This window comes from Homo sapiens, chromosome 5, assembly GCF_000001405.40.
Source record: "Homo sapiens chromosome 5, GRCh38.p14 Primary Assembly".
In the NCBI taxonomy this organism is placed as follows: domain Eukaryota; kingdom Metazoa; phylum Chordata; class Mammalia; order Primates; family Hominidae; genus Homo; species Homo sapiens.
The window spans coordinates 107503668-107523356 of NC_000005.10; the positions used below are offsets into that span (position 1 = coordinate 107503668).

The following is a 19689-nucleotide window of genomic DNA, read 5'->3' on the forward strand; positions in this document are numbered from 1 at the left end:
AAAGCACTTAAATTATAAAGAGATAAGGTCTTAAGGATAAGGCTATTTGTAACCCAAGCTATCAGCAGTCACTTTAAAATTATTATCTTCATAACCATTAATATTTTTTATTACTAAATTGTTTACCCATTAAAAAGGCCATTAAAAAATTAAAAATTTCAGTTTCTAATATTTTATTGTTTTCTAATCTTCTTTGGAAATAAAAAGATGTGTATTTTGTATTTTACATCATTCAGTATTTGCAATGCAGAGCTTTTAAAATGTATTACAGCATGCATTGAATTAGCTACCTTTAAACTAATAATCAGGCAATTCTCCTCATTCTTCATGACTTAAAATCCCATTATGGAAAATTCACTTTTATACATCAATCAGTCTAACATTTTCAAACATCAGTTATATAAGAAGTATCTGAAGTACCTCCTATTTTCTTCGAGCATTTTGTTGTAAGGAACTCTGCCATGCAGAGAAGGAATCCCAAAAGAAAGGTCTTTTTTGTTCAGGATGAAAGTATTTAAAGAGAGGGTATTTTTTAAATTAACTAAAAAAAGAGCTTCATTCTTAAGGTTTGAATTACAGACTGACAAGGGCTAAAATATCTTTTAACATAATTATTTTTTAAAGTAACTGACTTGAAATGAAACTAGCATTTTTCTTAAATGAATGCTGTTAAGTAAAGCAAAATGTGTCCCTACACTCGAAGAGGATACATTTTTAGTGATATGTTATATATATAAAAAAGAACTAGATGCTAAAGCTACCTTACTAAAATATGTGTCTTCTCTATTTGGAGCTTTATCTGCTATTCTCTCTTCTTTTATAGAAATAGAAAATGCATTATTAATGTACAAATAATATGCATGCTTATAGGAACAAACATTTTGAGCTGCAGAATAAACTAATGAAAAGAGCACAGACAGATACAGATATCTAATTACTACATTACCCTGGGCAAATCATTTAACTGCTCTATGATTCAGTCTGCCCATCTGTAAAATCAGTGGAACAGCTTCCCTACCTATCCCCAAGATATTTGGTAGGAGTACATGAAAAAGTGTTGTCGAAGCCTATTTAGGCACCAAGCTTAAAAGGTCTGGCACATGTTTGTGAAAGTACAATTATAATGATTTTCATTACTATTCTAGTAGACTCTGAATTTTAATCTTTAGGAATAACCCTAATTATTTTATTTTAAAATGCTTCAAAAATATAGCTATAACAGAAAAACCTGTCATATAACTAGTAGTAAAATTTTGGCCCTATAATATCATCCTATTTATTATTCAATTATTGCTTCAATAAACCAATGTATGTATAAAAGGTAGCCTTTGTTTTTCCGTATCTTTAATGCAATTTGTTCTGAAAAACTACTGTGACATTAATAATAAAGGACAAGCTCTGTAAAGAAAAGGTGCCTAACAAAAACTTGGCAATGATCTCCATTCAAAGCAAAAATGCTATGAATTTTAAGATAAGGGACCTGTTATATGTTAAGTAAAAATATTCGTAGTTTATAATTTGTGAAGCAGTAGGCATTGCATAACTCTGAGAAAAAATGCTGTTCATTATATGAATGGCAATTTCAAATAATATCAAATGATTTAAGTTCAAAGGACTTAGGAAAGCTTCATGGCATCCTGTTATTAATTTCACAAAAATTTCTTTAGAAAAGAAACTGAGTCCTACATGAAAAATGTAAAACTACAAGGTGCACTGTGTACTGATTCTCCATGCAACAAATCTGCAAACATTGCCTAGGGCATGCTATATGGGAAATCTGGACAGCTGGAAATCATAGTAGACAAGGAGATTTAGGTCATTGATCTCAGAATTGGAAAATTTCCCCTAGTGAGCCAATATGAATCTGGCACATATCACTGATACACACACATACACCCCTCCTATATCCTCAAAAAAGTAGCATATCACTAAGAGATATCATTAGAAAATGTATGCAGTAATAGCAAAGCGTGTGAATATATTAACTGATTGCGTAGTGAAAATCTTCAATATTCAGTAAATATTCATTGGGTACCTCCTATGTACACAACACTGTGAGAATCAGTAGTAAGAGATATAATTAACATTTGTTAAGTACTTGCTATTCTACATTCTTTACCTAACTCATTTAATCCCCCTTTCCCATCTCTCTCTCTTTTTCTCTCCCCCCCACCTTCTCTTGGAGATAAAAAACAATTATGATCATCAACATCAGCATCATCCCCATTTTCCATTTGAGAAAACTGAAGCCTAACTGAAGTAGCTTGCCCAAGGTGATAGAGCTAGTGAGCGACAGAGCCAAGATTTAAACCCTGGCAGTCTGATCCAGTCTACACATTCAACCACTATGCTATATTGCTCTAAAGCACAACCACAGGGAGCCACAAGAAACACTTCAAGCTCTTGAGCACTTACGCTTTATTTGTGTACCTCTCACTGCCTGAAATGACTCCCAGCTTAGGACTCACCAGCTCCATGAACCCTTCCCAGATTTCCCTCAGGAACAGTTGTCTACTCCCTTCTCTGGTCCATCAAGATATCTTGTACATATTCCAAATTCTGTACTTATTGGAACTATATTATAACTATTTGTCTGCATGTTTGCTCTTTTTATTCGTGAGGCTTGGCTGAGAATTCAACACATAGTAAACATCCAGTAGAGTAAATGATTAACCTGTCATTGGAACATTACAATTTAGTTGAAGAAGTAGTCTGAACTCTATTGGTGTAAGTATTTGTGTTTGATAATGGCAAATAAGAATAAAGGTTACCTTAGCAAAGGTTGCTAAATTATGGACTGGGGTGAAGATAGGGCTCAAACCTCACTCTGATAGACCTTAAAGGATAGGAATGAATCAGATGACTGGAAAAGAGGAGAGGCAATCTGGGGCCAGATGAGCAGGAGCAGGAGCAGGGGATTTGAGAAATGAGTGCCTGAGGCAGGTGTGGAGGGTGGGCAGCCCATTTAATGGCAAGCTAAGGAGCCTCAAATTTATTCTTAGGGCACTAGAGAGTCTTGAGCATGGAAATAACATGATCAGAAGAGCAAGGCAGGAAAAACAGTTTTGGCTGCAGGAAACACAAAGGTGAATAACAAAAAATATATAATATCTAGATTTTGAGGGTGAAACCTACTCAGAATCCTTCTTTAGTAAGGAAAAAGACAGCTGAAACATTCACCACCTGCTGAAAAAGGCTTGTCTCCAAGAAGCAAACTGTTACTAATAGTTTTTAATGTAAGTAAAAATTCATTAAACATTTATTGCTGCTTTATTATCCTACGGGCTAAGAATACAGAAATAATGCATCATCTTCAGGGATAAGAATCTAAATTTTTGAAAATGAAATACAGAATATGGATTAGAGAAGTAACATAAAATGATCAAAAGTTTGTATGTGAAGGTCAGAATGAGAGAGCTATTATTCTTATATAATATGATCTGTCAAAATAAAAAAAAACTTTTGTTCAAAAATAAATGATACAATCAGAAAATGAGAAAGGACATTAGAAGTAATCTAATCCCACAGCATTTTAGAGATGAGAAGAATGGGAGGACCAGAGAAGTTAAATGATCACCTCCAGGTCACACAGAAAGTTGTCAGTAAAATATGGATTACAAATCTCATCTCCTAACTATGGTTGACTGCTTTGCCTCTGCTGTTTTTCATAAAGCTATAAATATGACTACACTAGAAAAATAATTCTGGTATATTTTGGTATAAAACAAATTATAAGTCTTTAATAACATCCATGTAAACTTTAAAAGATTAAAACAATAGAGCCAATGAAAATGGATCATTCATTCATTTAGCAGCCTATATTAATTAAGAACCTAGCCAGGGAATGCAGGAATGGATGAAGGGTTTGGATATAAATAACGGAAAATGGCAAGGCGTGGTGGCTCACACCTGTAATCCCAGCACTTTTGGAGGCCAAGGAAGGAGGACCGCTTGAGCTCAGGAGTTTGAGACCAGCCTGGGCAACACGGCAAAACCTCATCTCCTAAAGATAAAAAAAAAAATTAGCTGGGCATGGTAGCGCAGCTGTAGTTCCAGCTACTCAGGAAGCTGAGGTGGGAGAATCACTTGAACCCAGGAGGTCGTATTTTGGATATGCTGAATTAAATATAAAATTAATATCACCAGCATTTTTAATTTCTTGGTAAAAATGTAGCTATTAGAAAACTGAAAATTATATACATGGCTCACATATTTCTATTGGACAATGCCACTCTGGAGAATGAGCAAAGATTAACCAGCTGTGGGCTGGTGCATGCTTAGAAAGGCCAGGAAAGAGGACAAGGTGGGATCTAACCATTAAAGGATAAGAATCTGAAGATTTTTTTTGAAAGACTAATTTTCAGGGAATTGTGGGGAAGAAAGTCTCACAGAAAAAAATGTGGGTAGTTACCCAAAAGTTTCTCCCATCATCTTTGGAACTTTGGCCAAATCAGGTGATGCCTTGGGCAAATCAGGTCTCCTTCCTCCTGCCACTGAACTAAACTTGCAGTTTATCCTTCTGTTTGTTCTCTGTGGAACTGTGAGCCAAGTGAAGTGCAGATGGATGGCTTCTTGGAACAGAACTGAAAGCATGCCAGTACTTAAGTTAGAATAGCATCCACCTTCAGTGACCACAGTTATTATGTGAACACCGTAGGTCCTCACGTGTGAGGTCACCGTATTATAGAAGCAGCTCTCTGGATAATTATTCACACAGACACAAACACACACACAGACGAATGTCATCAGAGTTTTTTGCTGTAAAACACTATTTCCATCTGTGTCTTCTGCTGCATAGTTTAATTCCTGTATATGTCTTTTAAATAAAAATGTGGGCCTCATCTGTGTTACACCAACCTTGAAGACATGAACTGCAGACAAATTTTCATAATAACTTCAGGGCTATCAAACTGGCTAGAATTGAAATATCAAGGTCAGCCCTGCCATTTTCAAATTATCTTCAGCCTTGATATAACAATAATCTTAATTAAATAGACTTCTAAAAACTAAGTGTAAGTCAAGCTTGAACCATCACTATTTTCAGAGTATACTAAACAGCTAGTAATACAAGTATAAGCAATAAATTATTCTTGTTTTTATAATAATGAGAAAAAAGTTCTAGAAGTTAATTCCACTTAAAGGTGTTTCAATAATTAATAATTTCATTTTTCTCATGTCCAATGTCATTACAGAATTAGGTATATTCATTACTTGAAACATTTCATTTAATCATTCACTTATTTACTTATTGCAGTGTTCCTTTATTGTATTGCAGTTATTTGTCCTGACAGTTTATAGTTCCTCGATTAAATGGATATTTTAGGTATTCTGGTTTTAATTACCTAGGAGCAAACTTCAGGTTTCAAAGTTGCATTTGGACAAAGTGCTATTCCTATAAATTTATTTATAGGATGGCTTCGCTCTTGAGTTAATCAGAATTTGTGTCACTTACATAACAATGGTGACTAGCGTGACATGTTAGTAGTCTCTAATGCAATTTTGCTAAAAATTTTCTTATAACCCATTAATACATAAGAGCAGATGTCTTTAGATACCCTTTTACAGACTCTTTAAGATGACTATTTGTTCTTTTCATCTGAAAGAACCAACACAAAAGAGCAAAAGTGAGTGTCAACTCTTTTTCTTTTCCTTTTTTTTTTTTGTTTTCTGAGGTGGAGTCTCACCCTGTCGCCCAGGCTGCAGTGCAATGGTGCGATCTCAGCTCACTGCAACCTCTGCCTCCAGGATTCAAGCGATTCTCCTCCCTCAGCCTCCCGAGTAGCTGGGATTACAAGCATGTGCCACCATGCTTGGCTAATTTTTTTTTTTTTTTTTTTGTATTTTTAGTGGAGACGGAGTTTCACCATGTTGGCCAAGCTGGTCTTGAACTCCTGACCTCGTGATCCGCCCGCCTTGGCCTCCCAAAGTGCTGGGGTTACAGGCATGAGCCACCACACCCGGCCTGAGTGTCAACTCTTTTTACACCCCTTAAAAATATACTCATATACAGATGAATGGTTATAAATGATTTAAAAACGTAGATGAGGAACACTGGAATACGGCCTTCACGAGGGCAGAAATTTTTGCCTATTACATTCATTAGTATATTTCTAGAACCCAGAAGAGTCCTTGATCCTAGCAGATGCTCAATAAATATCTGTGTATTGAATGGCACATAATGGACACTCAGAACATAAATGTTTAATGACTGAATAATTCATGGAAATGATTACGCCATTAGTTAATAACAATATGCTCCATGATCATCATTTCACTGTATGCTACTGTCAAAGGCATTTGAATCACAGCAACTCCATCTTGAATAAGGGCTATGTAAAATGAGGCTGAGAGCTACTAGGCTGCTTTCCCAGGAGGGTAAGAGATTCTTAGCCACAGGATGAGATAGGAGGTCAACACAAGGTACAGGTCATAAAGACCTTGCTGATAAAACAGCATGTGGTAAAGAAGCCAACCAAAATCCACGAAAACCAAGATGGCCATGAATGTAACCTCTGGTCATCCTCGCTGCTCATTATATGCTAATTACAACACATTAGCATGCTAAAAGACACTCCCACCAGTGCCATGACAGTTACAAATGCCATGGCAATGTCAGGAAGTTACCCTACATGGTCTGAAATGGGGAGTAACCTGCAGTTCCAGGAATTGTTCACCCTTTCCCAGAAAACTCATAAATAATCCACTCTCTGTTTAGCCTATAATCAAGAAATAACTGTAAGTATCCTTAGTCTAGCACCTCAAGCTGCTGCTCTGCCTATGGAGTAGCCATTCTTTTATTCCTTTACTTTCCTTTCACTTTACTCTAGGGACTTGCACCAAACTCCTTGCGAGATCCAAGAACCCTCTCTTGGGGTCTGGATCTGGACCCCTTTCTGGTAATACTACAATATGAATACTTTAAATGGTGGTTACCAGGAAGTCTTAAATGTTTATGACAAGTAGGTGCTTAGTACGTTTTCTTGAATATATGAGTAAAGAAATAAACTAGAAAGACTGGGTCACAATTTAGAAAATAAGTCATGAGGTGCTGAAGACCAGAACAGCCCAATCTTTTTTTATAAACCTCCTGGATGCAAGTTTTAACACAGTCTCAAAAAAGTTGTGATCAGTTTCTCCAAAGCTACACACTGAGACTAGGATGACAACGAGCTACCTACTCAGGATTTTGCAAGGACCAAAAATCTTTTCTTACTTTACAATACTCTCAAACAGAAACTATTTTAAACTACATGGTTAATTCAACCTTGTGGACTGGATGGTCATCAAAATGATTATATAATTATTTCAACATAGTTGCATTTCTTTCTTTTTCTTTGTGTGTGTGTGTGTGTGTGTGTGTGTGTGTGTGTGTGTGAGACGGAGAGTTTTGCTCTTGTTGCCCAGGCTGGAGTGCAATGGCACGATCTTGGCTCACTGCAACCTCTGCCTCCCAGGTTCAAGTGATTCTCCTGTCTCAGCCTCTCTAGCAGCTGGGATAACAGGCATGCGCCACCACGCCTGGCTAATTTTGTATTTTTAGTAGAGACAGGGTTTCACCATGTTGGTCAGGCTGGTCTCGAACTTCTGACCTCAGGTGATCAGCCCGCCTCGGCATCCCAAAGTGCTGGGATTACAAGAGTGAGCCACTGCTCCCGGCACCATAGTTGCATTTCTAAATATAAAATCCCCACGAAGTTTGAAAAGATGATGAGATCAGGGATATTTGAACACATTTTTAAAGTAAATGGATGTATGGAATATTATGATAGAATATAGTAGTAGTGGTAGTCAAGCATGAAACTGGTAGAGAAACAAAAATATACATGTAAAATAAACTCAGTATTTTAATAATAAAATAAATGGTATCCTAAAAAATACACTGATTTTGTAAATCTATATTTTGCTATTGTGACTTTCTATGAATATCCATTTATAAAGTGTTACATTCCAACCTGAAGCTTTTTTAAAAGTACAACAATCTTTTTAGTTTCAACTTTAATCTGTAAATTAAGTGCCCTAAATCATCTAATAGCATAGCTCTAAATTCATCCTTATCACCACTGCCTATTTAACATCAAAACTATCATAAAAAAAATAGTTCTTATCTATCAATGCATACATATATTACTTTTCTTAAAAAAAACCTGACTAATAATGTGGCACCATGAACATGTTATATGTAGACATGGTTTGTTCAAAGGGCTAAAAAACAATTATAGCCCTGCCTACTCACAATGCATTCCCCCAAATTTTCATTAGCTTACATCATAGTAAGACTTCACAAAATTTTCATCTGAAAAGACCTACTTTCCTTAAGATCTTGCTCACAAAACACCCAAAAGGTGCATTTTGAGAAAATGAAGAAAATGCCATGATGCTATCTGTGGCTCCTGCAACACTTGTTTTACTTCCTTTCGAAAGAAATAGAAAGTCAAAAGAGACTTCAAATGGTGGGCAGATGTAAATGGCATTTGCCTGAAAAGACATAAAGCAGCATTCAACAGGGAAGTCCCACCCCACTGAGTCTGTATAAGCGCTCACTCCATCTCTGTTGTAGTTGAAGACAGTGGCTGTCAATCAATCCTGGCTCAGTGGTTAAAGAACCCCACATAGGCTCCTCAGTAGGGTGTAAATGGCTGCAATCGCCTGGGTATAAGCAACTGATTTGCAAGCTGAGGGGCAAAACAAAACAAACAAAACAACAACAACAACAACAACAACAAAAAACACAAAAACCCCCACCTTGTTTCTTCCTCACACAACCTGAAATCAATACTCTAGCCTGTTTTTTTTTACCTTCTAGGAGGTTTACAGTTCTTGTAGGCCATCATTACAGAGAGTCACAGAAGGCACAAAACTGAAGCATGTCACCCAGGTTAAGAAGCTGAAGACTTTGTGCTGATTTCCAGTGATTATTGCCATTAAAATAGAGCAATGAGATAAAGTTTTGCCAGAGCCAAACACACACCATGGTGTTTTTGCAAAAGCATATACGAGAACTTAACTCCAAGATGACAGCTCCATCAAGCAGCAATCACCGAGAATGCTGTTCTGAATTCAAAGGCAACCCTGCTAACCACTCTTTCTGAGTAAATCACTTAACTTCTTTTATACCTCAGGTAGTTCATTGTGCACTACCTCACCATGGGTTGCTTACCAAGAAAACGTAATAAAAATAATTGGGGAGCTCTTTGAAGACATAAAATTGCTGTGGAGAGAATCAACTGTAAATTTAAGTCTGTGCTCCTTGGTGAAGAAGTCTCCAAGTGAGCTAGTCTTGATGAGGTCTCCTTTGATGATTTGGACTGTACTACTCTTAGTAGAAAGAGGCTCTGCCCCTTCCTGATGGGTACTTACGTACCCAGTGGCCAGGAGGAATGGACTCAGGGATGGGGCTAGGGGCCTCACCCACCAGGCATGAGAGGTAATTTGTGCTTCCCTGGCTGCCTTGGCACCATGCCTCTGTAGCTTTGTTTCAGGGATGACATGCTTCAGCTCAGGCTGCTGTGCTTAAGTCCTACTGTAGTCAGAGATTTGGGGCTGGGAAAAGAGGGGCAGCTTTGCCCCCTCCTGAGCCAAGAGGAGAGGGAGAGGGAGAGAGAGAGAGAGAGACTCTATCAAATAAAAGCCTGTTGGGATTTACAAGGAAACACTCGCTTGGGAGCTCAATTAATAATAAAATGTGATGAGCATGTTGATTCTGTGGGTTTTGTTTCCAAATCATTTGCTACCTGCCCCATTTCAGAGCATGTCAGGAATGGGTACTCTCCCACTGCAAAGATGGGGAAATGAGTCAAAGTGTCTCACTTGTGTAGCAAGTGGAAGCCAGATGTCAGAAGATGTATGCTGGGCAGATGTTAGAATTTTAAAACGAGAACTACCTGAATGGCCCCAGCAGAAAACATGGTATTCTAAAAATAGGACACCGACACCCCACCGAAATCAACTGTTCATTTATTTATTCTACATGACGGGTGCTGTGGGGCACCAGCTTCTTGCAAGCCTGCAAAACTGCTTGTGATTCATAAGATGTTTCTGAACAGAAAGAGGCTGGTGGTATCCGTCCATTAAAAACAGGCTCTTCACTGAGATACTGGGCTCTATGTTGTTTTTTCTTTAATTCCAAGAACTCAGAGGGAGGGACAGAAATGCTCAGTGGATAGCTATGGATGGATGAGCAGAGGGGAGAGGAAATAAGTGTGACATGTAAGCTGATCTGTGTGATACAGTAAGAGAGGAGGATGTTGCGAGGTAGGCCTGGGTCAGCGTCGCACAGGTGTTGGTGCTGGAATCTGTTTCCTGAACGTCTGTGCTGAACACAAAAACAACCAGGACCACGGGGGTAGAAATAACAAGTCTCACATTGCTTTAACAAAAACAACAAAATAAAGCACTATTCCTGTTTTCTGCTGTTTCTGTCATGCTAAATGACATCCCTGTCCCCAGGTTTAGCTATGTATTTTGCCACCTCATAAAACCCCAATCAATCTTCCCTTCTCTTCTGGCACCAAGTTATGAAGCATCCCTGATCTTCCAGACCTAAAGAAAACAGCAGAGAGACGGGGCTCCTCATCAGGTAGAGGTTTTCTTTTTTGTCAGAATTTGAGACTAAATACAGATTGGAGTATTCACTTGGGAATTCAACAGAGATCCATCTTAAGGAACATTCCAAATACACAATCAGAAAGAAAGCATTTGTGTGCTTTTCTGCTCCTAGGAAAATGCAGAGAGAAAGAAAAGGTTACTGTTTCATGTGAACTGATTTCTCCCTTCTCTGTGGTAGGCAGAGAACACATCATCCCACCTGGAACGTGAGTCATTTGTGAAATGCTTGTTTTAAATTCAAACTTCTCCACAACCTGACGAGTGTGTGGGAGACCCAAGGAAGCTGACATACAAGGGCAGATTTATTTTTCTGCCAGAAGGAACCATCAACACAAAGGCCAATGGTAACCCTAAAAATGGAAATGTGCTAACCCTTTTTATTGTCAAGCAAATAAAAAAATTATTCTTCAAAGGAGGAGAAACAAATGCTCAGACCCTCCAATGGCTTCCTGTCTCATTCAGAGTAAAAGCCCAAGTCTCTACAAGGATTCTATGAGGTCCTACGTGACCTGCCTCCCGTCTCCTCTTTCCTTACTTCACTGACTTAATCTCCTACCTCTCCTTATGATATAGGAGTTAAGAAGAAATTAGGCAGATAGCAAGGGCATGGGAGTCCTTGATAAGGCTTTTCTTTTTAATGAAAAACAGAAAAACAGCCCCAAATCATTTTCTAACAAAGAGCTGCCTGCAAGCTAGGAGCTTGCATGGGTGAATGCCGGCAGGAACTAAGGACTAGACATGTGCAGGATGGCAGCTCCATCTTCCTTTCTCTGCCAGCCACGTGTACTGTCAAGGAGCAGACAAGATGGTCCCAATCAACTAGAAAGTCCACTTGCACTGTAACCTCCGCCTTCTGGGTTCAAGTGATTCTCCTGCCTCAGCCTCCCAAGTAGCTGGGATTACAGGCGACTGAGCCACCACACCTGGCTAATTTTTGTATTTTTTAGTAGAGATGGGGTTCCACCATGTTGGCCAGGCTGGTCTCAACTCCTGACGTCAAGTGATCCGCCTGCCTCAGCCTCCCAAAGTGCTGGGAATACAGATGTGAGCCCCCATGCCCAGCATCAAGACATGGTTTTTATTTTTTATTTTATTATTATTATTATTATTATTATTATTATTATTGAGATGGAGTCTTGCTGTGTTGCCAGGCTAGAGTGCAGTGGCACAATCTCGGCTCAATGCAACCTCCGCCTGCTGGGTTCAAACGATTCTCCTGCCTCAGCCTCCCTAGTAGCTGGGACTACAGGCATGCGCCACCACACCAGGCTAATTTTGTGTTTTTCGTAGAGACAGGGTTTCTCCATGTTGGTCAGGCTGGTCTCGAACTCTCAAACTCAGGTGACCTGCCTGCCTTGGCCTCCCAAAGTGCTGGGATTACAGGAATGAGCCACTGCACCCAGCAGACATGGCTTTTAAAGTGCTCTGTTTTATCTACTTAAGGCCTGGACTCCACAAATCAAATCAATGTGTTATAATACAGAACTCTGGGTACTTCCTAATCTTATAACCTCTTCCTACTCATGCTCACGCCCCAAAGGCTATCTATCTATGAGATATGTTGTACACAGGAGAATCCAAGCCCAAGAAACTAAAAATCATCCCAAAGCAGTTTAAAAATGAACAGGGTTTATTTTACTGTAGAGCTTGTTACATCATCCATTTGTTGAATTACCATTTATGTTGGGTTACTTATCCTTACAATTCAAATGACCTACAGCCCTAGACACTAGAATTTTATTTCATTTTTGAGACACAGTCTCACACTGTCGCCCACGCTGAAGCGCAGTGGTATAATCATGGCTCACTGCAGCCTCAAGTAACCGGGCTCAAGTGATCCTCCTGCCTCAGCCTCCTAAGTAGCTAGGACCAAAAATGGGCACCACAATGCCTGGCTAGTTTTGTGTGTGTGTGTGTGTGTGTGTGTGTGTGTGTGTGTTAATTTTTGGACAGACGAGTTTACACTATGTTGCCTAGGCTGGTGGCAAACCCTGGCCTTAAGCAATCCTCTCGCCTCGGCCTCCCAAAGTGCTGGGATTATAGGCCTGAGCCACCATGCCTGGTTGAGTTTTATTTTTTTTAAGCAGCCACGATATACAGGAATCAAGAGAATTTAATCCTCAAAAGTAAAAAAGAAAAACCTCTATGAAAGGAAATGACTTGGGCTTGTGTCTATGTAGTGCCCAAAACAACCTGTTGGTCTGCTAATCTGTTAATCAAACAACTGTTTTAACTATATTATGAGAAATAACCACTTCAAGTTATTTTTGTTTTTATAGAATTGACAACTCCTGTTCCTCCCAAACTGCTTCTTTGATACACTACACATATGGCCGTAAAAGAAAGAATGCTTTAAATACCATGAAGCCCACATCTAAGTACTTAATTATCTGGGAAGCTTATGATGATGGTGATGATGTTTTCCCTCAATGGTAAATCTAAACCATGTGTGACAGCTGCAAACCACAGCATTTATTTAGTAAAGCCAGGGCTCCTTGCTCCTCTGTAGGCTTAGGAAACATTTCAGTGATGTCTGAAAAATAATAAAATATGTTACATAAAAGTCCAATATCTAGAACCTCAAAAATATTATATTCAGTGAAAGAAGTCAGACATAAAAGAACACATATTGTATGATTCCATTTGTACAAAATGTCCCAAAAAGGCAAGTATATAGAGACAGAAAATAGATGACAGGCTATCTAGGGCTGGGGGTAGGCACAGGGGATGACTATAAATGGGTATCAACCTTTCTAGAATACACACGTCATAAAATTATATCGTGATGACTGGATGGCTCTGTAAATACACTAAAATTCATTGATTGTACATTTACACCTCATGAATTTTATGGTATGTAAATTACATCTCAATAACACTGTTACTAAAAAAAAAAAAAGATGGAAAAAAGTCCAGTATTTATAAAAGCTTACAGGTTATAGGGTGCAGGGAGGAGAAACTAGAAGACAATGATGCTATCTCACAGTATTCATCATGCAAATTATGGTTTCTGTTCTTTTCTCCACTCCTATACAATCATGGTGACTCAGGAGAGGGTTACAGGTGTGTTGAAGCACAGTGATAAAAGTACTGAACTCCGGGCCAGACTGCCTAGGTCGGCCACCTACTGCTCTGTGACTTCAGGACAAATCACTCGGTGCTTCTTGTACTTTAGTTTCCTCATCTGTAAACACTAGTAATAGTACTGACCTCATACGGTTGTTGTGAATATTAAATTCAATATATGAGAAAAGTTTAAAAGTGCTCACTATCATTATTATCCTTTTAGCCTCTTCTTGTGTGCCCAATAAAGATCTTGGTTTTCTGTATATGCCAAGATATGAAAATCACTGGGAAACAACGTCAAACAAATTGCGCTGCATTATGTCTGAATCATGTTCTGTGACAAGTCATATTACAAGTGGTACGGTTATATTATGCAATGTATGTGATAATGTGTGAGAACAAACGAAGCAGGCTACGTAAAAGACTTTTTCAAAAATAAGGTTGTACATCACTTAGAAACACATTCTTAAGGATCTATTAAACTCATATTTTCATTATAATCTGCTAAGTATGAACACTATAAAAGCGTTTTTGTCTACTCAATTGTCAGGGTCAAAGTAGAATTGGGTTGGGTTGATTGGTATATCTTTTAAAAATACTGTATTTTTCTTATGCAATGAAGTGTACTCAGCAGGGATCCAAACTATATATGCAACAACAAAACAGGATTAAAAGCTTTTTAATGAAGGCACTGTAAACAGCATTTTCCTTCTGCTTTAGAATATTTCAAATACAAAATTAGCAAGCCCCAGAGACTGGAATTTCTGCTACAGGAGAGATGAAAGGTTAACTGTCTAAAAAGGAAAGACTATGTTTGACATATTCTATTTAGAAAATAAAAGGGTTTCCTAATAAAAGCAGAGGCCCACTTGATGCGCCTAATGCTCCTTCAGTGTTTGCATACACAACTGAGTAATTAGAAAGCCCCACTCGGAAAAAAAAAAAAAAAAGTGAATAAAAAGCCATTGCAGACATCGGTCCCTTGTTTACTAGGCTTGCTGGAGGCCCTGGAGGTCACTGTGATTGACAGGATTTTGGTGTTAGTAGGAGAGTTGATAATGCACACACATCTCTGGAGAGGAGAGCTCCGGAGTCCTGATCATGCTTAATAGAAGGGCAGCCACTGTGGAGAACAATGGAACAGGCAAAGCCTGGGGGACTGGTGGGCAGAAGGATGTTCAAGGATTGCAAATGACGTTCCCAGTCAATTAGTACCCATTGGGAAGCCGAGGTACACCATGCCAAAAAAAAAAATACCTAAAAATTCTCAGGGCAAGAATCTTCCTTTGCCAAAGACAAGGTACCACTGTAGCCATTTCCATTAGGTATACTTCAGTAACCTCAGCTCCCCCAAAGCACCCCTATGAGCTGCTGAAGATCAAGTCATTTTAGAAAAGCAACACTAGTTCCTACAACGTATGGCAATGTTTTCATTAGGCATGGCTGAAAGGCAAAAACCACAGCTTTGAATCACAAAGCCACCTGAACTTTATCTTTTTGTTCTACTTGAATTCCTAGAAACTCAATGGAAAGTATTTTCTGTATTTCCAGTCATTGAGAGGAACCATGTTAATTATTCCCAAGGTTCCTCCCCTTAAAGATCCCTGTGACCCAAATTTAAAAACAAGATCCAACCGGTTTCATTTGATGTAATGATATTTGAGATGTGTGGTTACAGAGAATAAATCTATTTCTATAATATGTTATTACATTAGTTTAATGAATATGCTTTCAACCAATGAAGATATTCCTCTTCCAGAGACACAAAGGTAGTTGCCACAAGAACTTGAATTACCCTGTCGTTGTTCTTCATTTCCACTTATTAATGAGATCATATATTAGCTGTTGCCCATGCAAAGTTTTAACCATCAAAATATCCTAATTCTAAAAGTCGGAACCTAGTGAGCAGAATCATGGTCCAATTGTTGATTCTGCTTATAGAACATCAGTTAAAACTGCAGGAGTACATGTGCTGAAATGTAGATTTTTACAAAATGGGCTGTTTACCTTTTCATAACTCCTTTGCTCAAAAACACAGGACCATTTATTGAGGCAAAGGAATAAAAACAATCTTGTCTTGACAAGGTCACACCAGGTTTTCCTAGCTTAATCCTTTTGGAAAACTTTTTCTCACTTAATCCATTTCATCCTGTAGAAAGCCCTGTTCAGAATTTCTATATGATACTGAAACAATAAACAGACATGTAGGGTGTCAAAGTTCTAAGGGAAAAACATACAGAGGTCTTTGAAAGAGTGTCTTCCAAAATAAAACACTGAGAAAACGATTGTTGTTTCTTTGGGGCATGGAGCGAAGCGATCCCCTTGGAAAGCACACACTGCAGAAAATGTAAAATTAGACATCTACCTGAACACCATGACTTAGTCTAAAAAAATATGCAACTGTGCTTAAGTGAATTTATTTGAATATTTTTACTTTAAAAATAAGTAATTTTAAGAAAAGGAGAGCAGTTAGTGCATTTTCATTCTGGGAGCTTCAAGTCACATCAAAATCTTCACGCAAAGTTTCCTTTCTCTTTGAACTGTAAGCACCACTCTGGCTGGGCCAGGTGGGATGAAGTGGAGCAACAGCGACAAAGCACAATGACTTACTTTCCCATTCCATCCTGATTTCTCATTCATGCTTTGTTTCCTTTCTTTAAAGGGGGGAAACAGCCCTCCATTCATTTGCTACAAGGTCCACAGAACCATCTCAGGGCTTACGGGGACAGTGTGTCACCAGGGCAACTGAAATAAACACGAAAGACAGATGTGAAGGCTGGAATTCTTCAACGGCAAGAGGGTTTGACACTTCATAAATCACTGTGTCACTCTGCTATAACAAAAACTGGTCTCATGTACTGTACCCGAGGCTTTCTCTCGCTGTACTTGCTTGTGGAGTCTGTTTGCATACCACATCTGGTTTGTCACTAAAAGCTTTATAAAGGCAGTGAATCAATAAGAGTGAGAAAAGGGTGGGGCCCTTCACTCTCAATACAATAAAGTCCTCTTAAGAAAGAATTCAAGAAACCAGTTACTAAGAAAATAAAAAACTAAAAAGGTCTCAGATAAGAAATGAAAATGCTTTCAATCTGAACACATAAAAAAGCATGATCTTGGTTATCTGGCTACTTTCAGTTGGCTATGCTGTTCTCAAGATCACAGGCACAAAATGTTGAGCATCTATTTGTATCTGTGTCTAGGTGAGTCCAAATTAACTATTCTGTCTTTCATCTGGTAGGCAAGGGGGAGCTCCTAGTGGAGTTCAGTTTATTTAAAAACATAAATGTTTGTTAGGTTGAACCGAATAAGTCTGCCATCTTATGATTTTCTTCTGAAGAGGTTACGAGAAGAGCTGGCCTTCAAACTATAATTAGCAAGTTTTCGAGGATGTGTGAGTGTTTCTGACTGCTTGGTACCAACCAGATCTGCCTTAAGCAGAGTGAATGGGTAGTAATCACTGTGGATCAAGATGTATTTGCTGTTTCTTTTACTAAATTATCTTAACAGTGATAGCTCAGGGTACTTAGCAGTCATTCATACCCTGGTCATGTAGTCATACACAATATTTAAATGTATCATACTAAAGAAAACACCATTTGTGTCTATTTTCCAAGCTTCCATTCTCTTACATTTAGTCAATTTAATTATAAGATAAATGTAATATGATTTGAAATCTAACTTGAAAATAAGCATGTGCCATTTCACCATTAGACCTATACAGATGCTCCTTTGACTTATGATTGGCTTATTTCCTGATAAACGAACTCATTGTGAGTTGAAAATTATTGTATGTAGAAAGTGCATTTAATACATGTAACCTACAAAACATCATAGCTAAGCCTAGCCTACCTTAAACATGCTCAGAACGCTTACATTAGCCTATGGTTTGGCAAAATCATCTGGCCACACAATAAACTTTAGAGTATGTATGTATGTATGTATTTACTTATTTATTTATTTATTTGAGACAGGGTCTCATCTCGCTCTGTGGCCCAGGCTGGAGTACAATGGCATGATCATGGCTCACTGCAGCCTTGACCTCCTGGGACTCAAGTGATCCTCCTACCTCTCAGCCTCCTTAGTAGCTGGGACCACAGGCATGTGCCACCACACCTGGCTATATATATATATATATATATTTTTTTTTTTTTTTGGAGAGACAGGGTTTCCATATGTTGCCCAGGCTGGTCTTAAACTCCTAGGCTCAAACAACCCTCCCACCTCAGCCTCCCAAAGTGCTGGGATTCCAGGCATGAGCCACCAAGTACTAGTTGTCTACCCTAGTGATTGCGCGGCTTACTGGGAACTGCAACTCACTGTTGCTGCCCAGCTTCGTGACAGATACTGTACTGCATATCGCCAGCCTGGGAAAAGATCAAAACCCAATATTCAAAGTATAGTTTTGACTGAATGTGTGTCCCTTTCATACCATCGTAAAGTGCATAAATTGTAAGTTGAAGACCATCTATATATTATTGTATGTCTTTTTTTCTTTCTTAGTCAGTTCCCGCTATGTTTTCCAGGCTGGAGTGGGCAGTGGCTATTCACAGGATCAGTGATCATTGCACACTACAGCCTCCAACTCCTGGCCTCAGGCAATTTGCCTCAGCCTCTGGATTAGTTAGGACTACAGGTACACCATCTTGCTAGGCATTTTATGCTTTCTTTTTCTGTTACAAGAGTGGACAAATCATCCTCATGCACCTAACAATATTATATAGCAACGGTCCATAGTATTTTCAAGAATGAAAACTCTTCCATGAAGCAGCTGTATTTCTGTTATCTGAACACTAAAAAGTACAACATGACAAAAAGTACTCTAGTGCAGTAACTTTTTATATGAATTTGTACTCACTAGCATGCATATTATTGGGGGATAATAATGCTACATGTATTCTAAGGCACATCTGTACATGTTTTATTAGTCACCCATCAAATTTTGTGATACAAGGAAATGTGAAGACCTCTTTGAAATATCCATGGGGTCACCCAGGACTTTATGCCTCACAGAGCCACTAAAACCTATGTCTCCTGGCTCTTTCTCACTCTCTTTCTTTTTTTCTTTGTCTTTTTTTAAAGACACAGGGTCTCCTTCTGTTGCCTAGACTGGAGTGCAGTAGTGTAATTATAGCTCACTGCAGGCTGGAACTCCTGAGTTCAAGTGGTCCTCACACTTCAGCCTCCCAAGTAGCTAGGATTATAGGCACGTGCCACCACATGCAGCTAATTTTAAAAATAAATTATTTATTTTTTTTAGAGACACGATCTCACTTGAGGTCGACGTTACCTCCAGTGATCCACTTTGGCCTCCCAAAGGGTTGGGATTATATGCATGAGTTGCTATGCCTGGCCTCTTTCTAATTTTTCTGGCCTCAGTCCAAGTACTACTGCATGTTGGAGTCAACTTCATTGACTACCCAAGCCACTTGGGTAACTTTCTTCCAGCCACTATGCTCTATCACATTTCTGGTTTTTATGAACTATATTTTTTATTCAAACTCATCACACTCTCTAATTCTTTTGTTTATTCAGTTACTTGAATAAAGGCTGTCTGTATCCCCCATTCACTAAATCATGGGACCTTGCCTTTTTAACAAATAGATGGGTATTTCCAACACCTAAACAGGGTTCATCAAATGTAAAGACTATTTAATTTCCACTGATACAGATTCCACAAGACAGATAAAGCAAAGAGACAAACTGGCTTAATTTACCAAGTTAATATCACTAAGCTCAATTAGTACTGTTTTTTCGTTTGTTTGTTTATTTTAACCAACTATGGCCAATCTTCACACAGACCAGACAATATTTCTCCTCTTTTAGTGTGTTCTTACCTTTGCTTTTGAAAGATTTTACATATGCCAGACACCTCTGGAAGGGCAGCTATCTTAGTATTATCCAGAGTTGGGAAATAGCCATGATATCATTCAGTTATGAAAATCAGAAATATGTGCTTCCTTTTTTTTTTTAAGAAATAGTCTCAGATATTCAACTTGTTTGTCTTAGATTTGCTTAAAC

At 38.5% G+C, this 19689-nt stretch overlaps 1 protein-coding gene across 2 annotated transcripts in view, besides 5 other annotated features; it reads right to left on the minus strand.

Moving 5' to 3' along the window:
* The window catches only part of EFNA5 (ephrin A5), a 294044-nt gene that overhangs the window by 126774 nt on the left and 147581 nt on the right, over positions 1–19689 (minus strand). The gene's annotated exons all lie outside the window — the stretch shown is intronic.
* Positions 8421–8715: a silencer, noted in NCBI's record as "tiled region #8638; K562 Repressive non-DNase unmatched - State 24:Quies". NCBI's record gives its function as "represses a minimal TATA promoter and a strong SV40 promoter by Sharpr-MPRA in K562 cells {active_cell/tissue: K562}" and the evidence as "EXISTENCE:reporter gene assay evidence [ECO:0000049][PMID:27701403]".
* Positions 8421–8715: an enhancer, noted in NCBI's record as "tiled region #8638; HepG2 Activating non-DNase unmatched - State 24:Quies". NCBI's record gives its function as "activates a minimal TATA promoter and a strong SV40 promoter by Sharpr-MPRA in HepG2 cells {active_cell/tissue: HepG2}" and the evidence as "EXISTENCE:reporter gene assay evidence [ECO:0000049][PMID:27701403]".
* Positions 9700–9759: an enhancer, noted in NCBI's record as "active region_22864". NCBI's record gives its function as "activates an Ori minimal core promoter by ATAC-STARR-seq in GM12878 lymphoblastoid cells {active_cell/tissue: GM12878}" and the evidence as "EXISTENCE:reporter gene assay evidence [ECO:0000049][PMID:35858748]".
* Positions 13659–13708: a silencer, noted in NCBI's record as "silent region_16212". NCBI's record gives its function as "represses an Ori minimal core promoter by ATAC-STARR-seq in GM12878 lymphoblastoid cells {active_cell/tissue: GM12878}" and the evidence as "EXISTENCE:reporter gene assay evidence [ECO:0000049][PMID:35858748]".
* Positions 15983–16484: an enhancer, noted in NCBI's record as "NANOG hESC enhancer chr5:106855351-106855852 (GRCh37/hg19 assembly coordinates)". NCBI's record gives its function as "activates a minimal SCP1, AML or CMV promoter by ChIP-STARR-seq in naive H9 embryonic stem cells {active_cell/tissue: H9 hESC(naive)}" and the evidence as "EXISTENCE:reporter gene assay evidence [ECO:0000049][PMID:30033119]".